This window comes from Homo sapiens, chromosome 16 (assembly GCF_000001405.40).
Source record: "Homo sapiens chromosome 16, GRCh38.p14 Primary Assembly".
Classification (NCBI taxonomy): domain Eukaryota; kingdom Metazoa; phylum Chordata; class Mammalia; order Primates; family Hominidae; genus Homo; species Homo sapiens.
Window position 1 is genome coordinate 19,701,712 of NC_000016.10, and position 18,683 is coordinate 19,720,394.

The window sequence follows — 18,683 nt, forward strand, 5'->3', positions numbered from 1 at the left end:
TGGCACACACCTGTAATCCCAGCTACTTGGGAGGCTGAGGCAGGAGAATCGCTTGAACCCAGGAGGCGGAGGTTGCAGTGAGCCGAGATTGCGTCACTGCACTCCAGCCTGAGTGACAAGAGCAAAATATCATCTCATCTCAAAAAAAATTAAAGGACAGCAGACACTAATGAATGCTTCTTTCCCTCCCCTCTACTAAATCATACAGAAACTCAGACAGCATTGTGGGGTGGCTCAGATACTCCCAAGTGGCCTTTATTTCACAAAATTCTGTTTTTTTTTCTTTTTTTTGAGACAGTTTCACTCTTGTTGCCCAGGCTGGAGTACAATGGCGTGATCTCGGCTCACCCCAACCTCCGCCTCCCGAGTCTAAGCAATTCTCCTGCCTCAGCCTCCTGAGTAGCTGGGATAACAGGAGTGCGCCACCACACCCAGCTAATTTTGTATTTTTAGTAGAGATGGGGTTTCTCCATGTTGGTCAGGCTGGTCTAGAACTCCTGACCTCAGGTGATCCGCCGCCTCGGCCTCCCAAAGTGCTGGGATTACAGGCGTAAGCCACCGCACCTGGCCCACAGAAGTATTTTCATTAAAATTATTTTATCTACTTTTACTGTGTGATGCTATAAAATGAAAAACAATTGGCAAATTCACAAATTATGTTCTTCAAGTCATTTCTTCTCCTCTGAGGCTGAACGTGGTGGGCAGCATTAGTTCCCAAGCCTAGGCCAGTGAATTCTTACCGCTCTCACATTACACCTGAACTTGGACTTTCACATGAGGTCGGGCACCCATTATATCAAAGGTGCTTCTGAATCCTGTCATGTGGCCCAGGCAGAGGCTTAGATTTTATATGTCCTTGTGTGTGCAGTTTCCCCCAGCCCTTTACTGAATCAATAAGCCGGTCTCTGAAAACACTGGTCTATGTGAGATGAAGTCTATCATTAGCAAGGATGGAGCAATAAGATGTCAGCCAGAATTGTAGAAAATAAAAATGATGGGGCCTGGGTGCGGTGGCTCATGCCTGTAATACCAACACTTTGGGAGGCTGAGGTAGGTGGATCATGAGGCCAAGAGATCAAGACCATCCTGGCCAACATGGTGAAACTCCATCTCTACTAAAAATACAAAAAAAAATTAGCTGGGTGTGGTGGTGCTCACCTGTAATCCCAGCTTCTCAGGAGGCTGAGGCAGGAGAATCGCTTGAACCCTGGAGGTGGAGGTTGCAGTGAGCTGAGATCACGCCTCTGCACTCCAGCCTGGGCGTGGAGTGAGAGTGAGACTGTCTCAAAAAAAAAAAAAGAAAGAAAAACAAAACCATGGCAACTTCCACATGAGACTTACTTACATTAGGTCTTCTATTGTTACTTTAACAAATTGCCACAATTGTAGCGGCTTAAAACATAATGTTGTCATCTGACGGTTCTATAGGTCTTAAGTCCGCCTGGTCTCACTGAGCTAAAATTAAGGCATCAGCAGGGCTACGCTCCTTCTGGGAGGCTCTAGGGGAGAATCTACTTCCTTGCCTTTTCCAGCTTCTAGACAGCACACACATTCCTTGGCTTCTGACCCTTCCCTTCCCATCTTCAAAACCAGCAGTGTCTAGTCAAGTCTTTCTTAAGTCTCTTTGATGTGGACTCTTTTTTGCCTTCCTCTTCCACATTTAGGGATCTTTGTGATTCCTCCGGCCCACCCAGAAACACGGGATCCTCTTCCTGTTTTAAGGTCAGCTGATTAGCAAACTTAATTCCCTTTTGTTTCGTAACCTAACAAATACACAGGTTCTGAGGAGATGTGGTAGGAAGGGGTGTTATTCTGCCAACTTCTTTTGTGAGGACTGTGTCTATTTGGCAAATTTTTTTTTTTTTTTGGAATGGGGTCTTGCTCTGTCACCCAGGCTGGAACACAGTGGTGCAATCATGGCTCACTGCAGCCGTGATGGAGGGTGGTGCTCAAACCAATGTTAATTTACAAAGGATGGGAGCTCAGAGTGATTCTCCCAAGACAAGACTGCCAGAGGGTGGGGTCCTGCTCATCTGAGAGATGGTGATCTGCACTGGCAGAAAGCAAAAGGACAAGATTAAGTCCATTCTGAAGACACCCAGCATTGTGGTGTCTTGGCTGCCCAACCTCCACTGGTGAGACGTAAAGTTCTTATGTATATAGAAAAGCAATAAAGCTCCCCCTGTGCAAATGGAACTCCTAAGCCAGTGGTGATGTTGAGTTAGAAAGTCACAGCCTATTACAGACAGAATTTACACCAGGGGCAAGGCCTGACCATCACACCCTCATGAGAGCTACCAGTCACCAGGGCTTGGATGGGAGCAACACAGCGGACATATGATCACCTCTCCACAATCACCCAAAGACAGTTTTTTTTTGTTTGTTTTTGAGACAGAGTCTCATTCTGTTGCCCGGGGCTAGAGTGTGCAGTGGCACCATCCCAGCTCACTACAACCTCCACCTCCCGGGTTCAAGCGATTCTCCTGTCAGCCTCCTGAGTAGCCGGGATTACAAGCCCGTGACACCACACCCACCCAGCTAATTTTTGTATTTTTAGTAGAGACGGGGTTTCACCATGTTGGTCAGGCTGGTCTCGAACTCTTGACCTCGTGATCCGCCCACCTTGGCCTCCCAAAGTGCTGGGATTACAGGCGTGAGTCACCGCACCTGGCAGAGCACAACCTTTTTAACAGAGCTAAGGCAGGCCAACGTCAGGGTGACCTCTTGGCAAGATAAAAACTATGAGTAGTAAACGGCCGATTCCAGCTACTCAGGAGACTGAGGCACAAGAATCGCTTGAACCCAGGAAGCAGAGGTTACAATGAGCCGAGATCACGCCACCACACTCCAGCCTGCGCGACCGTGAGACTCCATCTCAAAAAAAAAGAAACGAACGGCTGGTTCCTGTTTACACCAGGCACATTCCTGTAGTGTTGCTCAAGGTCAGGAGGGATTTGTTTCTCCATCAAAGGAGGAGGTGCCCAGAAGGCACTCACTCAAATCCAGAACACTGCCTCTTGGGCTTTCCACGGCCTCTCCCATTATGTATCTCAAGGTTGAATCCAGGAAAGAAAGGCAGGACAAGTTCACGTCCTGAGGGAAGTGGCCCAAGTAGGTCCTTGTAGCACATACTTGTCCAACTATTGACCTGGCCAATGCTTGCGGATCAGGGTTCAGAGCCAGGGAAACTGCCTGAAGTGCCTGCCTCACCTCTGCCCAATGGGCAGCTGTGGACACCATGGCCACTTCACCAGCATCCACTCTTCTTGACTGAAGGGAATCACCAGCCTTCCCATGACAGGGGCGGGTGCAGCTATGGGCAGATGACTCATTGCCCAGCAATGGAGGCTTCTGGAAGTTTCCTTGAGACACAAAAAGGCTTTTCTTCCTCTGGAATGTTCTAGGGTCTTGATATGCTGCCTGGAACTGTTACTGCCATCTTTGTACTAGCCTTGATGAAGCCAACACTGGAGATGATGGAGAGAATGCTTCCTTGGCGAGCTGTTGAACCAGGCCCTAATCAGGCCTTCCTGCCACGTGAGACTGAACTTTCTGGCCATCGAGGCCTGCCTGGGCTGGGATGTCTGTAGGAGGCATGTTCAGGCCAAACGATCGTGAAAATGTCCCAGTCAGAACCTGTATTTTGGGATGCAAAAAGCTAGGTGAGTGGAAAGAAGGTGGTCACAGATGGTCACATGCGACTTGGGCCACTGGACCTGGAGCTCTTTGAGGCTTGCTGTAGAGTCCAGGCTTGGAAACGCTGTCCCCACAGCCGATGAGGCAACTTCCCGTGTCATCTCCACACGTTCATCTCCTCCTGGCATTCAATATCCACCTACAGAAGTCACCTGGGATTCTCTTCCTTGTGATAAAAAAGAATCTCATCAGACACATCCCTGGGGCTGGGCACAGTGGCTCACACCTGTGATCCCAGCTCTTGGGGGCTGAGGCAGGAGCATGAGTTGAGTCCAGGAGTTTGGGACTAGCCTGGACAATATAGTGAGACCCCATCTCTACAAAAAATTTTAAACACTAGCTGGTTGTTGTGGTGCACACCCACAGTCCCAGCTACTTGGGAGGCTGAGGTGGGAGGATCACTTAAGCTGGATAGGTAGTGGTTGCAACAAGCCGTGATATGCCACTACACTCCAGCCTGGGTGACAGAGTGAGAGCCTATCTCAAAACACACACACACGTCCCTGGGATCTGCCATTGATTCATTTGCGGGACTAACCACTCTTCCTAAAATGCCTTGTTCAGAATCCAGTCAAAGCACAAAAATCCTACCTCAGCACTTAGGGCCGAAGGGACACCAGTGGAAAAGGCAGGACTGGTTTAGAGGCACATTTCCCAGCAGCAGCAGCTCAGTCACATGTGTTTGGTAACAACTCAGACACCTCTCTGCCTACAGCTGCTCTATGACAGGGGAAAGGAAAAGGAAGGAAAAGGAGTTTGCGATTCTCCGTTCCTCATTCACTCCACTTTTTATCAGAGATGCAGACTTGTCATAAAACTTTTTCCTCCATCTAAAGACATTTCAATCCCCAACGAGGATTCTGGTGGAAATTCCCTAAAGGGGACATTCAGAGTGGCGAATAGTGAACTTAGGGCTTCGGGTACAAAAGTACAACACCCTGCACTTAGTGGCTGGGTGACCCCAGGCAATTTTATTACTTTATCCCTGAACCTCAGTTGCCTCATCTATAAGATGGGGCTAATAATAGCACCCATTTCATAATTATGAAGATTAAATACATTAAGGAAAACACTAGTATGTCCCTAGTACCTGCTAAACACTCAACAAAAGTTAACTGTACATACTGATGTCTCAAACAGGGACGGAATGTTTAACACAGAAAACAGGAGGTTTTAGCACTCACTCGTTCTCCTGGCTCCCGAAATATGAGCTGCCCTGCCCCAGTTCATCCAAGCCCATCAATATAGTTGTCCTCGTCCTTAATCTCCACAGGTGTTCAATGTGAGCCAACTGTCAGATGGCTTTCATTTGCACAACTGAATAAACCATTTATGCCTAGTGTTCCATTACTGGAACGCTAAGCTTATGGGAGTTATTTATATCTTACTGCTCGAGGTCCTCACCAAGATCTGATTTTTTCACAAAAAAAATTTGTAATCTCCAGCATAAATGGAATAATCAAAGCAATTGTGGCAGTTTTGGGGGGACAAAACTCTAGAGTTTAATCTTCCAGCTTGACTGACTTGGAAGCGTTCCTGTCAATGTAAAAGATCTTGTTGGGGGCGGTGGAGAAGCCGAGGCCGGCTCCCCGGCTGTACTTCCAGCTCATGGCCCGGTCGTAGTCCCGCTGCAGATTCTGCTGCAGGCTGTCAGCCGCCTTCTTGCCGAGGGCCATGTTGGGCCTTGCAATCGTGCTGGCGGGGCGGCTGAACGAAGGGGACAGGTTTTTGAAGCCACCCATAAGTCTGAGAAATTTCAGTTTTTGGTCCTCGTTCTCAAAACCAGCAGTATCCCACTGGCCAAACTGGGTTCCCTGTGAGGAGAGGAAAAAGGTGGCTATTTTCCTTGAGTTCAAAGCCCTTTCCTTCCCTTGACCCCCACCCTCATCAGGGAGGGCCCAGCAGATTAGATGGCTGCTGTGTACCAGGCACAGTGCTAATAAGCTCAACAACGGATTATTCCGTTAATCCTAAAGACAGCCCTATGAGAAACACTGTTGTTATTCCCATTGCACAGAGGAGAAAATAGAGGTCTGCAGCTTAGCTGGAGACAGAAACCTAACTAGTGACCCCCAGAATTCCAGCCCAGGTCCAGCCAACACCACTGCCCACCTCTGCACAGAGCTGCCTTTCTGCCTTCCTCCTCCTTTCCTAACTCATGGCACACGGCACAGTGTGCCTCACTTCACAACAGCGCACTCCCCCCACCACCCTACACTAAGCATTTCCCCCCACCTCCCTACACAGTGCACCTCCCCTCCCCCACCTCCCTACACAGCACACTCCCCCACCACTCTACAGAGCACACTCCCCCCACGACCCTACACAGAGCACTCCCCCCACCTCCCTACACGGCGCACATGGCGCACCTCCTCCCACCACGCTACACAGCACACTCTCCCCCTACCATCCTACAAAGCGCACCTCCCCTAACCACGCTACACAGTGCACTCCCCCCACCACCCTACACATCGCACTCCCCCCACCTCCCTACACAGCACACTCCCCCACCTCCCTACATAGCACTTCCCCCACTCCCTATACAGCGCACCTCCCCCCACCTCCCTACACAGCGCACCTCACCCCACCATGCATCTCACAAGACAGCACACCTCCCCCACCTCCCCACAGGGCGCACCTCCCCTGCAACACAGGGCACCCCACAGCCCAGCAGCCGGGCGCACTCACCCAGCAGCCTAACGTTTGGGTGAATTGGAGGGTGGGAGAGGGCGAGTGGGAATCTGAAGTGTGCTTCTCAGAAGCACTGTTTTATGGCGGGAACGGGTGCGGGCCCACAGGGGTAAAAGGTCACACAGCCAAGTCAGACTGAGCCAAGCCCAAGAACTCGGGGGTCCCCATTCCAGCCAGAGTGCGCTACCACCCATGTGCAAGAAAATGCAGGAGAGCCCTCCAGACCCCCTTCTCCCAGGTCGGTGGGAGAGGAAAGAAACTCACCTCCCAAGAAGACTGTGACTCGGAAGTCAGGCAGCCCCGGGAGGAAGCCTCCCCTGGGTGACCCTGCTCAAGTCCCCTAACCTCTCTAAGCCTTGGTGCCCTCATCTCTAAGGTGGGGTGATAACATCCCCCTCACAGGGCTTCAGTGAGACATACGTCAGATTTGACACCAAAAGCCCAGTGCACGATGCATGGCACACCTCAAGCCCTCAGTGACTGGCCACTCCTCTCCCCCTACCCCAACCAGACTGCTGACATCGACGCTGCCTGGGAACTTCCCGCCCACAAGCCAGAGGCCAGCCCAGCACTTATTTCTGGGTTGGCTTTGGGAAAATAAGAACCAGTTGTCACTACAGCTGCCCTGAGTGAACCGGTGACACATTCTCCCAGCTTCATGGTGGCCCAGATGCAGGAATAATGACAGCTCCCCTGCCCTGCAGTTTCTAGAGTGAGAGGCCATCTATGACCACCCCACATGGGTTTTGGGGAGAGCAGGAGACTGCTAGCTGGTCCTGCGTGAACCAGCACTTCCAACGGCTGCTGCCCACCCAGAGGACCACTTCACCACGTCTCAGTGGCATGGCATGTCCCAGCCCCTGTGCCCCAGGATCACTCTCCTGCCGTCAGGTCCTTCCAGGGACAGCCCCCCGGGACATCGGCTCCGAATCACACTGCCTTTTTTCTTGCCCTCCCTATTCAAGCTGGATGTCCCATCAGCTCGGCTCAGCTCAGCAGGGTGGCATGGAGAGAAAGGGCACCCCAAGGCAGGACCCATAACAAAGCCCCACTCCATACCCCACCAGGCCAGGGTACGAGTCCCATTTTACAGGCTCAGGGGAAGGTACCTGGCCAGAGTCCCACCACTAGACAGTGGCAGAGCCAGTAGTGAAATCAGATCTTTTGATCCGAATCGACTGTTCTTTTCTGAATGCTCTGACGGAGCCTGAAGGCCAGCATCGCTGGTCACCCAGACCTTTCTTCTCGTCTCCCCAAAATCCAATCTATGAACAAGTCCTGCCAGCTGTGCCTCCAAAGTAAATCACAAAGCTGTTTTCTCTCTCTATCCTCTGCCACCATCCTCAGGCTGCGGCCTGCAGGCTGAGCCTTCTACCAGGTCTTCCCGCTTGCCGAGTCAATGCCCTCCAGCCAATCCCACTTAGCCAGATCCCAGGCCAGCTCTCTATCATGGCCGCTGAGGCCGAGGCCTGTGGCCTGTAGCCCTCTCGTCCCTCATTCCAGCCGCAGTGCCGCCTCACTGGCCTTCCCTACAGATCACTCCAGGCCCTTTCCTACCTTAGGGGTCTGCACCGGCCACTGGCCTCACTGAAACGCTCTTCCCCCTGTCTCCTGAGGGCTGGGGCCTCTGCACCCTGAACATCTCTGGACAAGCGCTGCCACCTCCCAGCCCTCGCCCATCTGTTGCAGCCCCTCTCCAGCTCACTGTTCTGTTTCTTTCTCCTGACCGCTACTGCCACCTCAACTGATCTTCCTTTCCTTGTTTGCTAACCATTTCCCTGCCATGCTCACCCCGCTCTGGCCTCTAGACCGTGAGCGCGATGATGGGGATCACATGGGCTTCATCTGCTCCATGTCCAGCACCCAGCACAGAGCCCCCACTGAACTCCGCCAGGGCCCCAGCCTGACAACCTCACACTCTCCAGCCTCATGATCCTCGCACCCTCCTCCCTCCTGAGAGATCTTCTCAGGCCCGGCTTGGACATTTCCCAGTCAGACTGGATCTGAAAACCAGGCCTGAGAGGGGCCGCGACCACTCCCTCCCCTCTGCCTCTTGTCCCTGTTCCTAGCAGCCCTCCAAAGGCATCGTCCACCACTGGCAAGAGCTCGCTGGAATGTGTCCTCAGTGATTAATCCTTAGGACACCCCACCAGTCCAGGGCTGAGACAAAGGTTCAGGCAGCTTATCTCACCGGGCCAGCTCTCTAGGAGGGAGGCAAGCGCCCTTTTCAGAAGGAAGGAAATTAGCTCAGGACAAATTCTGCTGTGGAGGGAGCCTGCTGCAGGCTAGGGCTGCCTCTGGGGCCTGGACATACTTGGTTCTCCTGCTCCACTCCTCATGCTGGAGGCGAGGGGAAGCGTCGGGAGGCCGAGCGTGCCACCTCCTCGCAGAGCCCTAGCCCCAAACTTACCGTCCACTTCCTGGTTTCAGAAGCTTCCGTTTTGCCTGACTCGCGATCGATCTCTTCTTGCAAGGCCTTTCGCCTCACCTGAGCAAGAAGGATGACAGAAGAGGGCCGTCAGACAGAGATCTTCTTTCAAGCTTAAAACCCAGGACAGAGACGGGGCTGGGGGAACGGAACGTGGGAGGAACTAACACAGCTTGACTCTGCTACAAACAATGGGAAGCTGCTATCATAAGTATTCTCTTAGCATCTCAAGGGCTGCGCCCCTTGGCCTACACTGGGCAGGCTCATTTATCCTCTTTAGCCTCTTAAGAATGAATTTTCCTAGAAACTGAGGCTTAAGAGCTTGCAGTGAGCCAAGATCACGCCACGGCACTCCAGCCTGGGGGACAGAGTGAGACTCCGTCTCAAAAAAAAAAAAAAAAAAAAAAAATCCCCAAGGCCAGAAAGTCCACTTCCCACAGGGATGCATTTGCCACGGGATATGGGAACGACAGAAGCGGAAGCTGATTCACAACAAAACTTCTCCTCTAAATGCTCCTGAATTAGCCCAGGGGGTGGCAGCATGTGTCACCTGCCCAGCTGCAGGGTCTTAGGGACATGTCCCCCACATCCTGCAGCAAGTAACAGGGAATGGCCAGTCGGGCCTCTCGGCCATGGCCACGGCAGCCGGAAGGGCCCCCAGCATGAGGATGGGGAAAGCACGCATTCCCGGCCCGGGAGGTGTGCGTTGGCAGCTGGCCCAGTGGCCTCTGGAGTCCCTGGTGCCCCTGAGACCAGGATCACCTAGCCAGCCTGGCAGGCAGCAAGTGAGACTCCAAGGGTGGCAGGAGGCAGCGGGAGGGGCCTGAGGAGGGTCTGGGCTGTACCTGGTCTATGTGCGCCTCATCCATGTTGCCTTTTTTTTCCAACACCACCTCTAAGTCCGTGTCTGTTTCCTGCAGGAGAGGGCAGAGCTGGCTAAGGTTCAAGTTTACAATGAATGGCCTCTGCCTCTGCACCCAGCCAGGGTGAGACCATGACAAAGTCCAGAAAAGACCTCAGACCACGGCATCACCCCCAGCCCTGCCACCTAGAAACATCTCAGTCAGCAAAGCCCTTCCCATCCCTTCTCTTCCACAATTCTCCCGCAAAACAGTAGTACTAAACTATTTGACGGATGAAGAAACTGAGACTCAGACAGGTAAAGTGACTACAAGGTTACCCCACGGCTCAGGGACTGGTGATTCTAACCCACATCTCCTGACCCAGGGCTTGGTGTCCGACCTTTCCCACTACACACGTCACCTACCTCCTACGGTGACACCAAACTACAGGACAGAGGCCAAGGACCACACTAACATGCACCATGCTCTCCCACCCGCCTTGGCCCTGAAGACACCCTCCAACAGCGAGACCTCAGGCCGGCCACTTTCTTGGGGTTCTTCAGTAACGACAAATGCTGACATTTCATGCGTCCTCACTTGAGAAGTGTGCTGTGCCTGGCACCTAGCGTCACGTGTGTGATGACCCTGGAAGCCCTCTCCATTCCCATCACTCATCCAGGCCTGCAACACATGTGCATTTGCTGGACTGGGTGGGCTGCTGTGGGAGGTAGAGTCCCCCCACAGATGTTAAGCAGAGGGAACTCCCTTTCACTGAGCTCCTGGGAGAAGGGATTCTAGAGTCTGATGGCGGCTGGGCCCAAGCCTCTAGGGTTCCTCCCAACTCCAAGTTTCTGAATAAAGGAAGATGCTGGTAAAACCAAGGCTAATGGACTAGGGCAAAGCTGGGAAAATCCTAGCAACCAAAGCTAACACCTGGAGGCCTTTGATATGGAGGCCACCCCTCCACTCCCCTCCCCCTCTAACCGAGCAATGGGTGGTCCAAGGTCACCCAGCAGATTGGTGCAGAGCTCGGAAGAGAATCTGGGGTTTATGCTAATGGAAAGATGGTCATTTCTGGGGCTCTACTAATACCGGCTTCTACAAGAGGTTACATAGATGGTTTCTGAGAAGGGATAAATGCCAACTTCAGAAGCCAGACTAGCTGAGTTTGAATCCCAACTCCACCTCTTGCCAGCTGTGTGGCCTTAGACAAGGTATTAAGTCTCTGGAGCCTCAGTTTCCTGATCTGTCAAATGGGGGTGCCCACAGCAGCTACCTCACCAGACAGGTAGGAGGATGAGATGGGTTGATACAAAGCAGTCTGGGCATACAGTAAACACTCAAGAAATGTCAGCCACCGGCCACACGGAAGGGCCGGACACTGTCTGGAGCAGGACACACACCCTGAAACAAGACACACACCATCGTTTCGGCCCACACGTCCGTGCACACACCTGAGGACAGGAATGGGGGCCTGGCCCTGGAAGGGGCTCAGCTGGGAAAGGCTGTGGGTCTGGGGAGCCACCAGCCCTCCGGCTCACCTCAGGCCTCCCTCTCCCACTCCAGGCAGCCTGGCAGGCTGAAGACAGCAGGTCTCTGTGGTTTTCACCAAGCCATCATCCACTCCTTCCCTCCTGGTAACAGAACTCCAGTTTTCCTCTCAGAAACTGCCTCCCCGCATCTCAGACGGTGTGGTTTAGTTAGGACTGATACCCGCCCTGTCCTTCACCTCAAGTTTTTTTTTTTTGAGACAGTCCCGCTCTGTCACCCAGGCTGGAGTGCAGTGGCATGTCGGCCCACTGCAACCTCCACCTCCCAGGTTTAAGCAATTCTCGTGCCTCAGCCTCACGAGTAGCTGGGAATACAGGCGCCTGCCATCATGCCCAGCTAGTTTCTGTATTTTTAGTAGAGATGGGGTTTCACCATGTTGGCCAGGCTGGTCTCGAACTCCTGGCCTCAAGTGATCTGCCTGCCTTGGTCTCCCAAAGTGCTGGGATTACAAGCATGAGCCACCGCACCCGGCCACCTTTGGTTTTAGATTAGAGCTTCTGGATAGATTGACCCAACTGAGGCCTGCGATAGTGGCCCTGAGACTTCTGTCATAGATTTACAGGGGCCACCCTTCTTCCTTTGGGGGTGGCTGAACTGCTGGGATGAAAGCCTAGAGCTGCCGGGACCATCAGGTCACAATGTGATGGAGGTGGAGGAGGAGGATGGGCCATAAACCAAGATAGAAAAATACAAAGCCCAGAGCTGAGGAAATCTCATACAGGCATCTCCGGCTACCCAAATCTATTTGATGTATAAATTGTGTATACTGAGCTGTGATGATACTCAGATAGCTACAGGCACTACGTTATCTCATGTTACTTGGTTCCTGAGTTTTGGATAGCAAGTGGCAAGAGTTCAGAAAGCAAGGGATTCATCTGAAAAATTGATCCCAGTTAATTCAGACCCCAACGGCAGACAGGGAAAACTTGGGTGGTTTCAGTAGCAAAGGATACCTGCAATTATCGATGATACTGCATGAGCCCCTAGATCCAGCCATACCTGAAGCTAGTTAACCATAACCTTTCCAATTGCATATATCAATAAACTCCCTATTCTGGCTGAAATTAATTTAACCAGGGTTTTAGCTAAAAGCATGAGTACTCGTGCATGTACAAACATGCACACACGCCTACACACCCCTCCCAAACCCCACCCTTAATTCTCCCACGGCAAAGTCCATTTCTGAAGGAAAAACTACCTCCTTCCAAGGGTCTCCTGCTACCCCACTCTCTTTCCTCTTCTTCTTTTTCTTCCTTTTCAGAGCTGGCTCCTCGATGACTGGCTGCTCTACCTTCTTTTTGGACTTCATCTTTTTCTTTGCGGAGGCCTTAGGGTCATCACTTATGGGGATGTATTCCGGAGCCTCAACTTTGACTGGCTTCTTTTTACTTCCTTTCCTAGGGCTGCTCTCCATGGACCTGGAGGGCTTGGAGTGGCCTGGGAGGGCATCTCCCTCCTGGTGGATTTTTTTTTTCTTCTTCACCTTCCCATTGTGTTCTCTGGGGCTCTTCCGCTTCCGTTTCTGCCCCAAGGCTGCCTGTTCCTCATCCTTCTTCCCCACTGAGCAAGTGTCCCCAACATCCCTGGCCTCCCTGGCCTCACAGAACCAAGGGTCCTGGACCGAGAAGGCTGTGGGGTCCTGGGCCCCCTTTTTTTCCTTCTTGTGTTTTTTGAGCTTCTTGCCAACTCTGGTTTCCTCCTCACCCTGTCTAGGGTCTGGGGAGGTTTTCACCCCAGAGGCATGGGACATGGCTAGAGGTGACTTCTTATTTTTCTTTTCCCCACTGAGGAACTCCAAGTGGCCAAACACCTGCTTCCTGAGGCTGGGTGACTTCTCTGTCCGTCTAGCAGGCAGCGTGGTCTCAGGTTCTACATGCTCCTCGCAAAGGGTGCTGACACCCTTCTTTTTCTTCTTCTTTTTCTTCACTAGAGGCATCTCAGGTGCCTGCCCATGGGCCACACTCTTAGAGGGGGATGTAGCTCTTAAAGGAGAAACATCAGCAAAGTAATCATCATTGTTTAAAACTGAGTATCGAGTCTCTGGTTCTTTGACCACTTTCTTCTTCTTTTTCTTCTCTGGGAGCCCAAGGTCTACTTTGTGTGTCTTGGTGATCATTCCTGAAAAAACAAATGGTACAAGTTATCCCATACCAAGCCATCCTGTGTTCAATTCTACTAAGCATTGCCAAGAGCCATGTTTCTTTGAGTGGGTGGTCAAAGCGTTGTGGGACAGGGAAAATGGACATGATTCCTTTAAAGCAAAAAAAGAAATACTACAGAAACAGCGTAAATTTTAAATCCACACAGCCCTAGGTTCAAACCTAAATGCCTCTCTCACCTTAAGTAAATCAGCTAACCTCCCTGAGCCTCAATTTCTCCATCTGGAAAATGGGGGAATATAACACCTCCCTCCTCAAAAGGGTGTTGGAGGGAGTAAATGAGATAACCCATGGAAAGGGCTTGGTACACTGTTAATTCCCTTTTTCTTTTTCTCTTTTTTTTTTTTTTTTTTTGAGACAGAGTCTTGCTCTGTCACCCAAGCTGGAATGCAGTGGCGTGATCTCGGCCCACTGCAACCTCCGTCTCCTGGGTTCAAGTGATTCTCCTGCCTCAGCCTCCCCTGAGTAGCTGGGATAACAGGCACCCGTGATCATGCCCAGCTAATTTTTTTTTTCTTTTTTAGGAGGGACGGGGTTTCTCCATGTTGGCCAGGCTAGTCTCAAACTCCTGACCTCAAGTGATCCGCCCGCCTCAGCCTCCCAAAGTGCTGGGATTACACGCATGAGCCACCTTGCCTGGCCTAGTTCCACTGTTTTTAAAATTTGAAGTTGATTGCCAACACTGAATGAGTCACAATGATGCACAGTACTGAGGGCACCCAGCTTGTCTTGGACAGATATCGTGGAAGCACCTGTGAGAATGGGCTGGGGTCCTCAATACCCATCAGTGTCCAGCTGGACCACTGCTCTCACTCCAGTCCCCAGCCAAGTTCCTGCACTAGACATTCCCAGAATCTAGAAGCAAAATATCCCAAAATATTTCATAGCAAGTTAGGATCATGGGAGGGAAAGGAAAAACTTCTCCATCCTGCAGCCCTCCTCAGCTTCGGAACTCAGAGGGTCCACACTGGAGCTGGCTCTCTCTTAGCAGCTTCAAAGAGCCAGGCCTGAGCTACAGGTCAAGTTCATTCATAACCCACTCCAGGCGCACCTGGAGAGTCAAGGGAATAACTATACTCATTCATTGCTGTCTGCCCTGTTTCCTGGTTTATTTCCAGTGTCCTGCTCAGTGCCTGGCACATAGCAGGTGCTCAATACATACTCACTGAATGAATGCACACATGCTAGGGATACAGAGATGAACAAGATAAAACACCACCCATCAAGAAGCAAGTAGGTGTGGGAGGGAATAAGGTGTAATACAATGATACAGGTGATAAAAGCAAGGACAGTGCTAAGGTCAGGGTGGTGGAGGTTGTGGAACCTGTCCTACCAGTTGTCAGGAAAATTTCTGAAGAACAACTGCAGGATGGTGGTATTAATCCCTGAGACAAAGGTACTGAAGGCAAGTGGCTGAAGAACAGGCTTGATTGGACAGATGACTTGGAGATGTTCACTGGACAGGTGAATATATATGGATGAGGAGTTTGGGTGGCCGTGCTGACACGGGCGACATAAAGTTAGGAATGTATGGGTGGTGATAAGCCTTGAACAGAACAAGCCTGAGACAAGACTTCAAGAAATACAGTAGCTCGCCACCTAATCCCAGGTTTCCGTTACCCCTGGTCAACCCTGGTCCCAAAATAGGTGAGCACAGTACAGGAAGTTATCTTGAGAGGGAGACCACATGCATGCAACTTTTATTACAGTATACTGTTGTAATTGTTCTATTTTATTACTAGCTAGATTGTTGGTAATCGTTTACTGCACCTAATTTTTTGTGAGACAAGGTCTGGCTCTGTTGCCCAGGCTGGAGTGCAGTGGCATCATCTCGGCTCACTGCAACCTCCACCTCCCGGGTTCAAGCAATTTTCACGCCTCAGCCTCCCGAGTAGCCGGGATTACAGGCACATACCACCACGCCCGGCTAATTTTTGTATTTTTAGTAGGGACGGGGTTTTACTATGTTGGCCAGGCTGGTCTCCAACTACTGGCCTCAGGTGATCCGCCCGCCTCATCCTCCCAAAGTGCTGGGATTACAGGCATGAGCCACCACGCCCGGCCCTACTGTGCCTAATTTATAAACTTTCTCATAGATAGTATACACAAGAAAAAACAGTTATATTTAGGGTTCGGTACTGTCTGTGGTTTCAGGCATCCACTGGGGGTTTAGGAACGTACTGCCCGCGGATAATGGGGGAGGGGGACTATTGTATTGGCATTTAAATAAGTGGGCAGAGATAAAGGAGCTTGCAAAGAAGAAGGTGCAAACCTTGAAATAGTGTAGTCAGGAGAGCCAAGACGACTTCAGAATAGGGGAGCAGTCAAGAGAGCCAAGACGACTTCAGAATAGGGGAGCAGTCAAGAGAGCCAAGACGACTTCAGAATAGGGGAGTGGCCAAGAGATCTGGTAAGAACAAAGAATCCACCGGGAGGTTGCGGGTCAACTCTTAATCCCCTTCTCTCCCCATCTCTTGCCATTTAGAAAAGTATAGCATCCTCCTCTTTAGCCCTGCGACCAAATGCATTCACTCTTTCAAGGAGAAAGGAAAAGAACGTTACAGTGCATCTCCTGCAAACGCAAACGCTTTCTCCAAAACCGCTTTTAAATTCCAGGGACAGCCTTGTGAAGATCTTTGTGAATACCCGACCTCGCAAGCTCCAGAGACTACAATAATTCACTTGCCCTAGGTTCCAAAGCCAGCAAGTGGAAAACGGAGACTGGAATTCCGCCCACAGGACTCCAAAGCCTGTGCAGCAACACCCCACTCCCCCGGCAGGATCACCAGCAGGACGCGCGGGAGCCAGGAAGTAAGATCCGTACCTCCAAGGCTCCCATGGGCCCAAGCCTCCGCATCAACAGACTGGGAGGGATTACGTGGGGTCCCAGGGCCGGCTCTGAGGCGGGAAAACTTTCTGGAGGCGGCGGCCTCAGGCCGGAGCGGGCGCACACCGACTGGAGGGGTCGGATTCAGGGATGTGGGTGGACCGCATTTCCCCATCTTCCCCGCCGCGCACTTCCTCTGGTGCAATCTCCACACCCCGCGCCGGCCCGCCTGCAACGCGCCCTGGCACTCACCGGTGGGCGAAATTTCCCCGCCTCCACGTGAGAGCCAGCTCCGCCGTGACCCGGAAGTCCACTTCGAGTCGCCGGCCCACCCTCTCGGGTTCCGGCTTCTTCCGGGTCGCGGCCTTCCGGCGAACGCGGTTACCGTGGAAACCGCGGCCATGGCGGCACCGCGGCAAATCCCCAGCCACATAGTGCGCCTCAAGCCCAGCTGCTCTACAGACTCGTCGTTCACCCGGACGCCGGTGCCCACCGTGTCTCTCGCGTCCCGCGAGCTGCCTGTCTCGTCGTGGCAGGTCACCGAGCCGTCAAGCAAGAATCTGTGGGAGCAGATCTGCAAGGGTAGGAAACCTGGGCTGGCCGAGAGGGGCGGGACCCGGGCGGCCGGACGGGGGCCGCGTTTGGGGAGCGCCCACTGTGCGCCTGTCGGCTGACGGGCGGGGCCGCCGGGCAGCGGCTCCGCGGGCCCGGGCTCCGCATTTTACGCATGGGGAAACTGAGGCTCGGAGAGGCTGGCCCGAGGTTACGCAGCGCGGACTCCAATCGCGATCCGTAGTGAGGTTAAAGGCAAGGGAACGGCGAGGGAAAGCTGAATAAAGAGAACCATGCGGTGTGGACCATTGGTTCTTAAACCTCGGTTAGTGAACCGAAAGGAATTGCTGGGGCGGGGGCCGGGGTGGGGATCTTGTTATAAACGGAGGTTCCCAGGCCCCGCCCACAGAGCTTCAAATTGGGATGCAGGGAATCTGCACTTTTTAAAAGAGCACCCCAGGTAATCCTAACGTAGGTAGTCGGTGGCCCACACGTTCAGTAACCATGGTGTGGACAAACGGGTTTTAGTCCCTTCTTGCTTCAAACCTTCCTTAACCTCCCCAGGCGGAGTTGAGCACATCTTCCTTTGTGGCTCTACTCAGTATTTGTTACTTAGGTTGGGCAAATTATTTAACTTATGACCCTGTCTGCAAAGTGGGCATAATAATGGCACCTATTTCGATGGTGTTAAGAAGATGGAACCAGATAGTCACAAAAAGTGCTTAGCAAACTGCCTGATTTTAGGAGGGCAAAAGGATTATTGGGGAAAAAAAAACACAAACTGCTCGATTTACAGAAGGAGCTACGTAAGCGCTAGTTCTTAATGAATAATGTTGGGTGGGATGTTTTCTTTTTCCTCCACTAGACCATAAGCTCCTCAAGGTCAAGGACTCAGATTTTTCATTCGTGTGGCCACCATCACTACCTAAGCTGCCTGAAACAGCGCGGTGAAACCCCGTCTCTACTGAAAATACAAAAAAAAAATTATCTGGGCGTGGTGGTGTGCGCCTATAATCTCAGCTACTTGGGAGGCTGAGGAAAGGGAATTGCTTGAACCAGGGAGGTGGCGTTGCAGTGAGCCGAGTTTGCGCCACTGCACTCCAGCCTGGGTGACAGAGCGAGACTCCATCCCCAAAAAAAAAAAAGTGTGGTTAGTTAGCATTTGAAATGTGATTAGTGCAATTGAGTAACTGAATTTCTTGTTGGACTCAAATTTTTTTTTTTTTTTTTTTTTTGAGACGGCATGTTGCTCTGTCGCCCAGGCTGGAATGCAGTGGCACTGGCTGGGCTCACTGCAACCTCCGCCTCCCGGGTTCAAGCATTCTCACACCTCAATCTCCTGAGTAGCTGGGATTACAGGCACCCGTCATCATTCCTGGCTAATTTTTTTATTTTTGTAGAGAAGGGGTTTCACCATTTTGGCCAGGCTGCTCTTGAACTCCTGACCTCAGGTGATCTACCTGCCTCGGCCTCCCAAAGTGCTACAATTACAGGCCTGAGCCACCAGGCCCAGCCCAGACTTAATTTTAATAAATTTAAATAGCCACATTTGGATAGTGGCTGCTGTATTGGATAGTGCAGGTCAGTAAATGTTTATTGAATGGAAAAAAAGAATGAATGTACCAGTATATGCGATGACTCGAAAGAAGTGGAGAATACAGAGAAGGAAGAGAATAGTAGACTCAGTTGATAGATGCCCTCCAAAGCTGTCTGTTTCAACCCCATCCAGTACTTAAATTCCTTCTCCAACCTTACATTGTGCTAGAAAAATCCCTTTCATTTTGCATGTTCTCTTTGTCACTTTCACCCCTACGTCCTTACCTCTTGGTGCTATGATCCAAGGAGCTAATCACTCTACCCCAAAGAATCTACTCAGATAATTTGACGGTAGTTATTGTGGCTGCCTTTTCCCCAGAGCTTTCACTTCTCCAAGCCAA

The 18,683-nt window shown here is 51.7% G+C and overlaps 2 protein-coding genes across 20 annotated transcripts in view, besides 5 other annotated features; one reads left to right on the forward strand and one right to left on the reverse strand.

Annotated features, from left to right (window-relative positions):
* Nucleotides 1-225: 225 nt before the first annotated feature.
* KNOP1 (lysine rich nucleolar protein 1) lies at nt 226-16,516 on the reverse strand. 12 transcript variants are annotated; one of them, NM_001348528.2, is made up of 6 exons: nt 16,447-16,516; nt 15,640-15,774; nt 12,407-13,326; nt 9,661-9,729; nt 8,798-8,875; nt 226-5,510 (listed from the first exon to the last, which is right to left on the reverse strand). In NM_001348528.2, the coding sequence occupies exons 3-6, from the start codon at nt 13,322-13,324 to the stop codon at nt 5,199-5,201; spliced, it is 1,377 nt and encodes a 458-aa protein (NP_001335457.1). In that variant the 5' UTR covers nt 13,325-13,326; nt 15,640-15,774; nt 16,447-16,516; the 3' UTR covers nt 226-5,198. The 12 variants fall into 12 exon arrangements, with proteins under 12 accessions (NP_001335457.1, NP_001335458.1, NP_001013009.2 ...); NM_001348529.2 differs by having other exon boundaries at nt 15,640-15,900; NM_001012991.3 differs by lacking the exon at nt 15,640-15,774.
* Nucleotides 8,068-8,792: an enhancer, noted in NCBI's record as "NANOG-H3K27ac-H3K4me1 hESC enhancer chr16:19721101-19721825 (GRCh37/hg19 assembly coordinates)". NCBI's record gives its function as "activates a minimal SCP1, AML or CMV promoter by ChIP-STARR-seq in naive H9 embryonic stem cells {active_cell/tissue: H9 hESC(naive)}" and the evidence as "EXISTENCE:reporter gene assay evidence [ECO:0000049][PMID:30033119]".
* Nucleotides 8,793-9,519: an enhancer, noted in NCBI's record as "NANOG-H3K27ac-H3K4me1 hESC enhancer chr16:19721826-19722552 (GRCh37/hg19 assembly coordinates)". NCBI's record gives its function as "activates a minimal SCP1, AML or CMV promoter by ChIP-STARR-seq in naive H9 embryonic stem cells {active_cell/tissue: H9 hESC(naive)}" and the evidence as "EXISTENCE:reporter gene assay evidence [ECO:0000049][PMID:30033119]".
* Nucleotides 8,856-9,150: a silencer, noted in NCBI's record as "tiled region #978; K562 Repressive non-DNase unmatched - State 14:Gen5'". NCBI's record gives its function as "represses a minimal TATA promoter and a strong SV40 promoter by Sharpr-MPRA in K562 cells {active_cell/tissue: K562}" and the evidence as "EXISTENCE:reporter gene assay evidence [ECO:0000049][PMID:27701403]".
* Nucleotides 10,245-10,970: an enhancer, noted in NCBI's record as "H3K4me1 hESC enhancer chr16:19723278-19724003 (GRCh37/hg19 assembly coordinates)". NCBI's record gives its function as "activates a minimal SCP1, AML or CMV promoter by ChIP-STARR-seq in primed H9 embryonic stem cells {active_cell/tissue: H9 hESC(primed)}" and the evidence as "EXISTENCE:reporter gene assay evidence [ECO:0000049][PMID:30033119]".
* Nucleotides 16,440-16,769: an enhancer, noted in NCBI's record as "active region_10534". NCBI's record gives its function as "activates an Ori minimal core promoter by ATAC-STARR-seq in GM12878 lymphoblastoid cells {active_cell/tissue: GM12878}" and the evidence as "EXISTENCE:reporter gene assay evidence [ECO:0000049][PMID:35858748]".
* IQCK (IQ motif containing K) overlaps nt 16,560-18,683 on the forward strand; it is a 140,197-nt gene continuing 138,073 nt past the window's right edge. For 7 of the 8 annotated variants that reach the window (NR_130967.3, NR_130968.3, NM_153208.3 and 4 more), the window contains exon 1: nt 16,560-16,776. Coding sequence is in view for 4 of the 8 variants with exons in the window: in NM_153208.3 (NP_694940.1) it covers nt 16,596-16,776 (181 nt within the window). In the remaining 4 variants the exon portion in view is untranslated. Of the gene's footprint in view, nt 17,072-18,683 lie in introns of all 8 variants that reach the window. The other variant, NM_001394805.1, reaches the window with a different exon arrangement.

Bases quoted from the DNA above. Each gene is read 5' to 3' on its own strand.
- KNOP1 (NM_001348527.2), bottom strand. From the start codon at position 16,369: ATGGGGAAATGCGGTCCACCCACATCCCTGAATCCGACCCCTCCAGTC. The intron at 8,876-9,660 runs GTACAGCCCAGA...CTTCTTGCTCAG, and splicing joins ATGAGGCGCACATAGACCAG to GTGAGGCGAAAGGCCTTGCA. The intron at 5,511-8,797 runs GTAAGTTTGGGG...CTCTCCTCACAG, and splicing joins CTGAAACCAGGAAGTGGACG to GGAACCCAGTTTGGCCAGTG.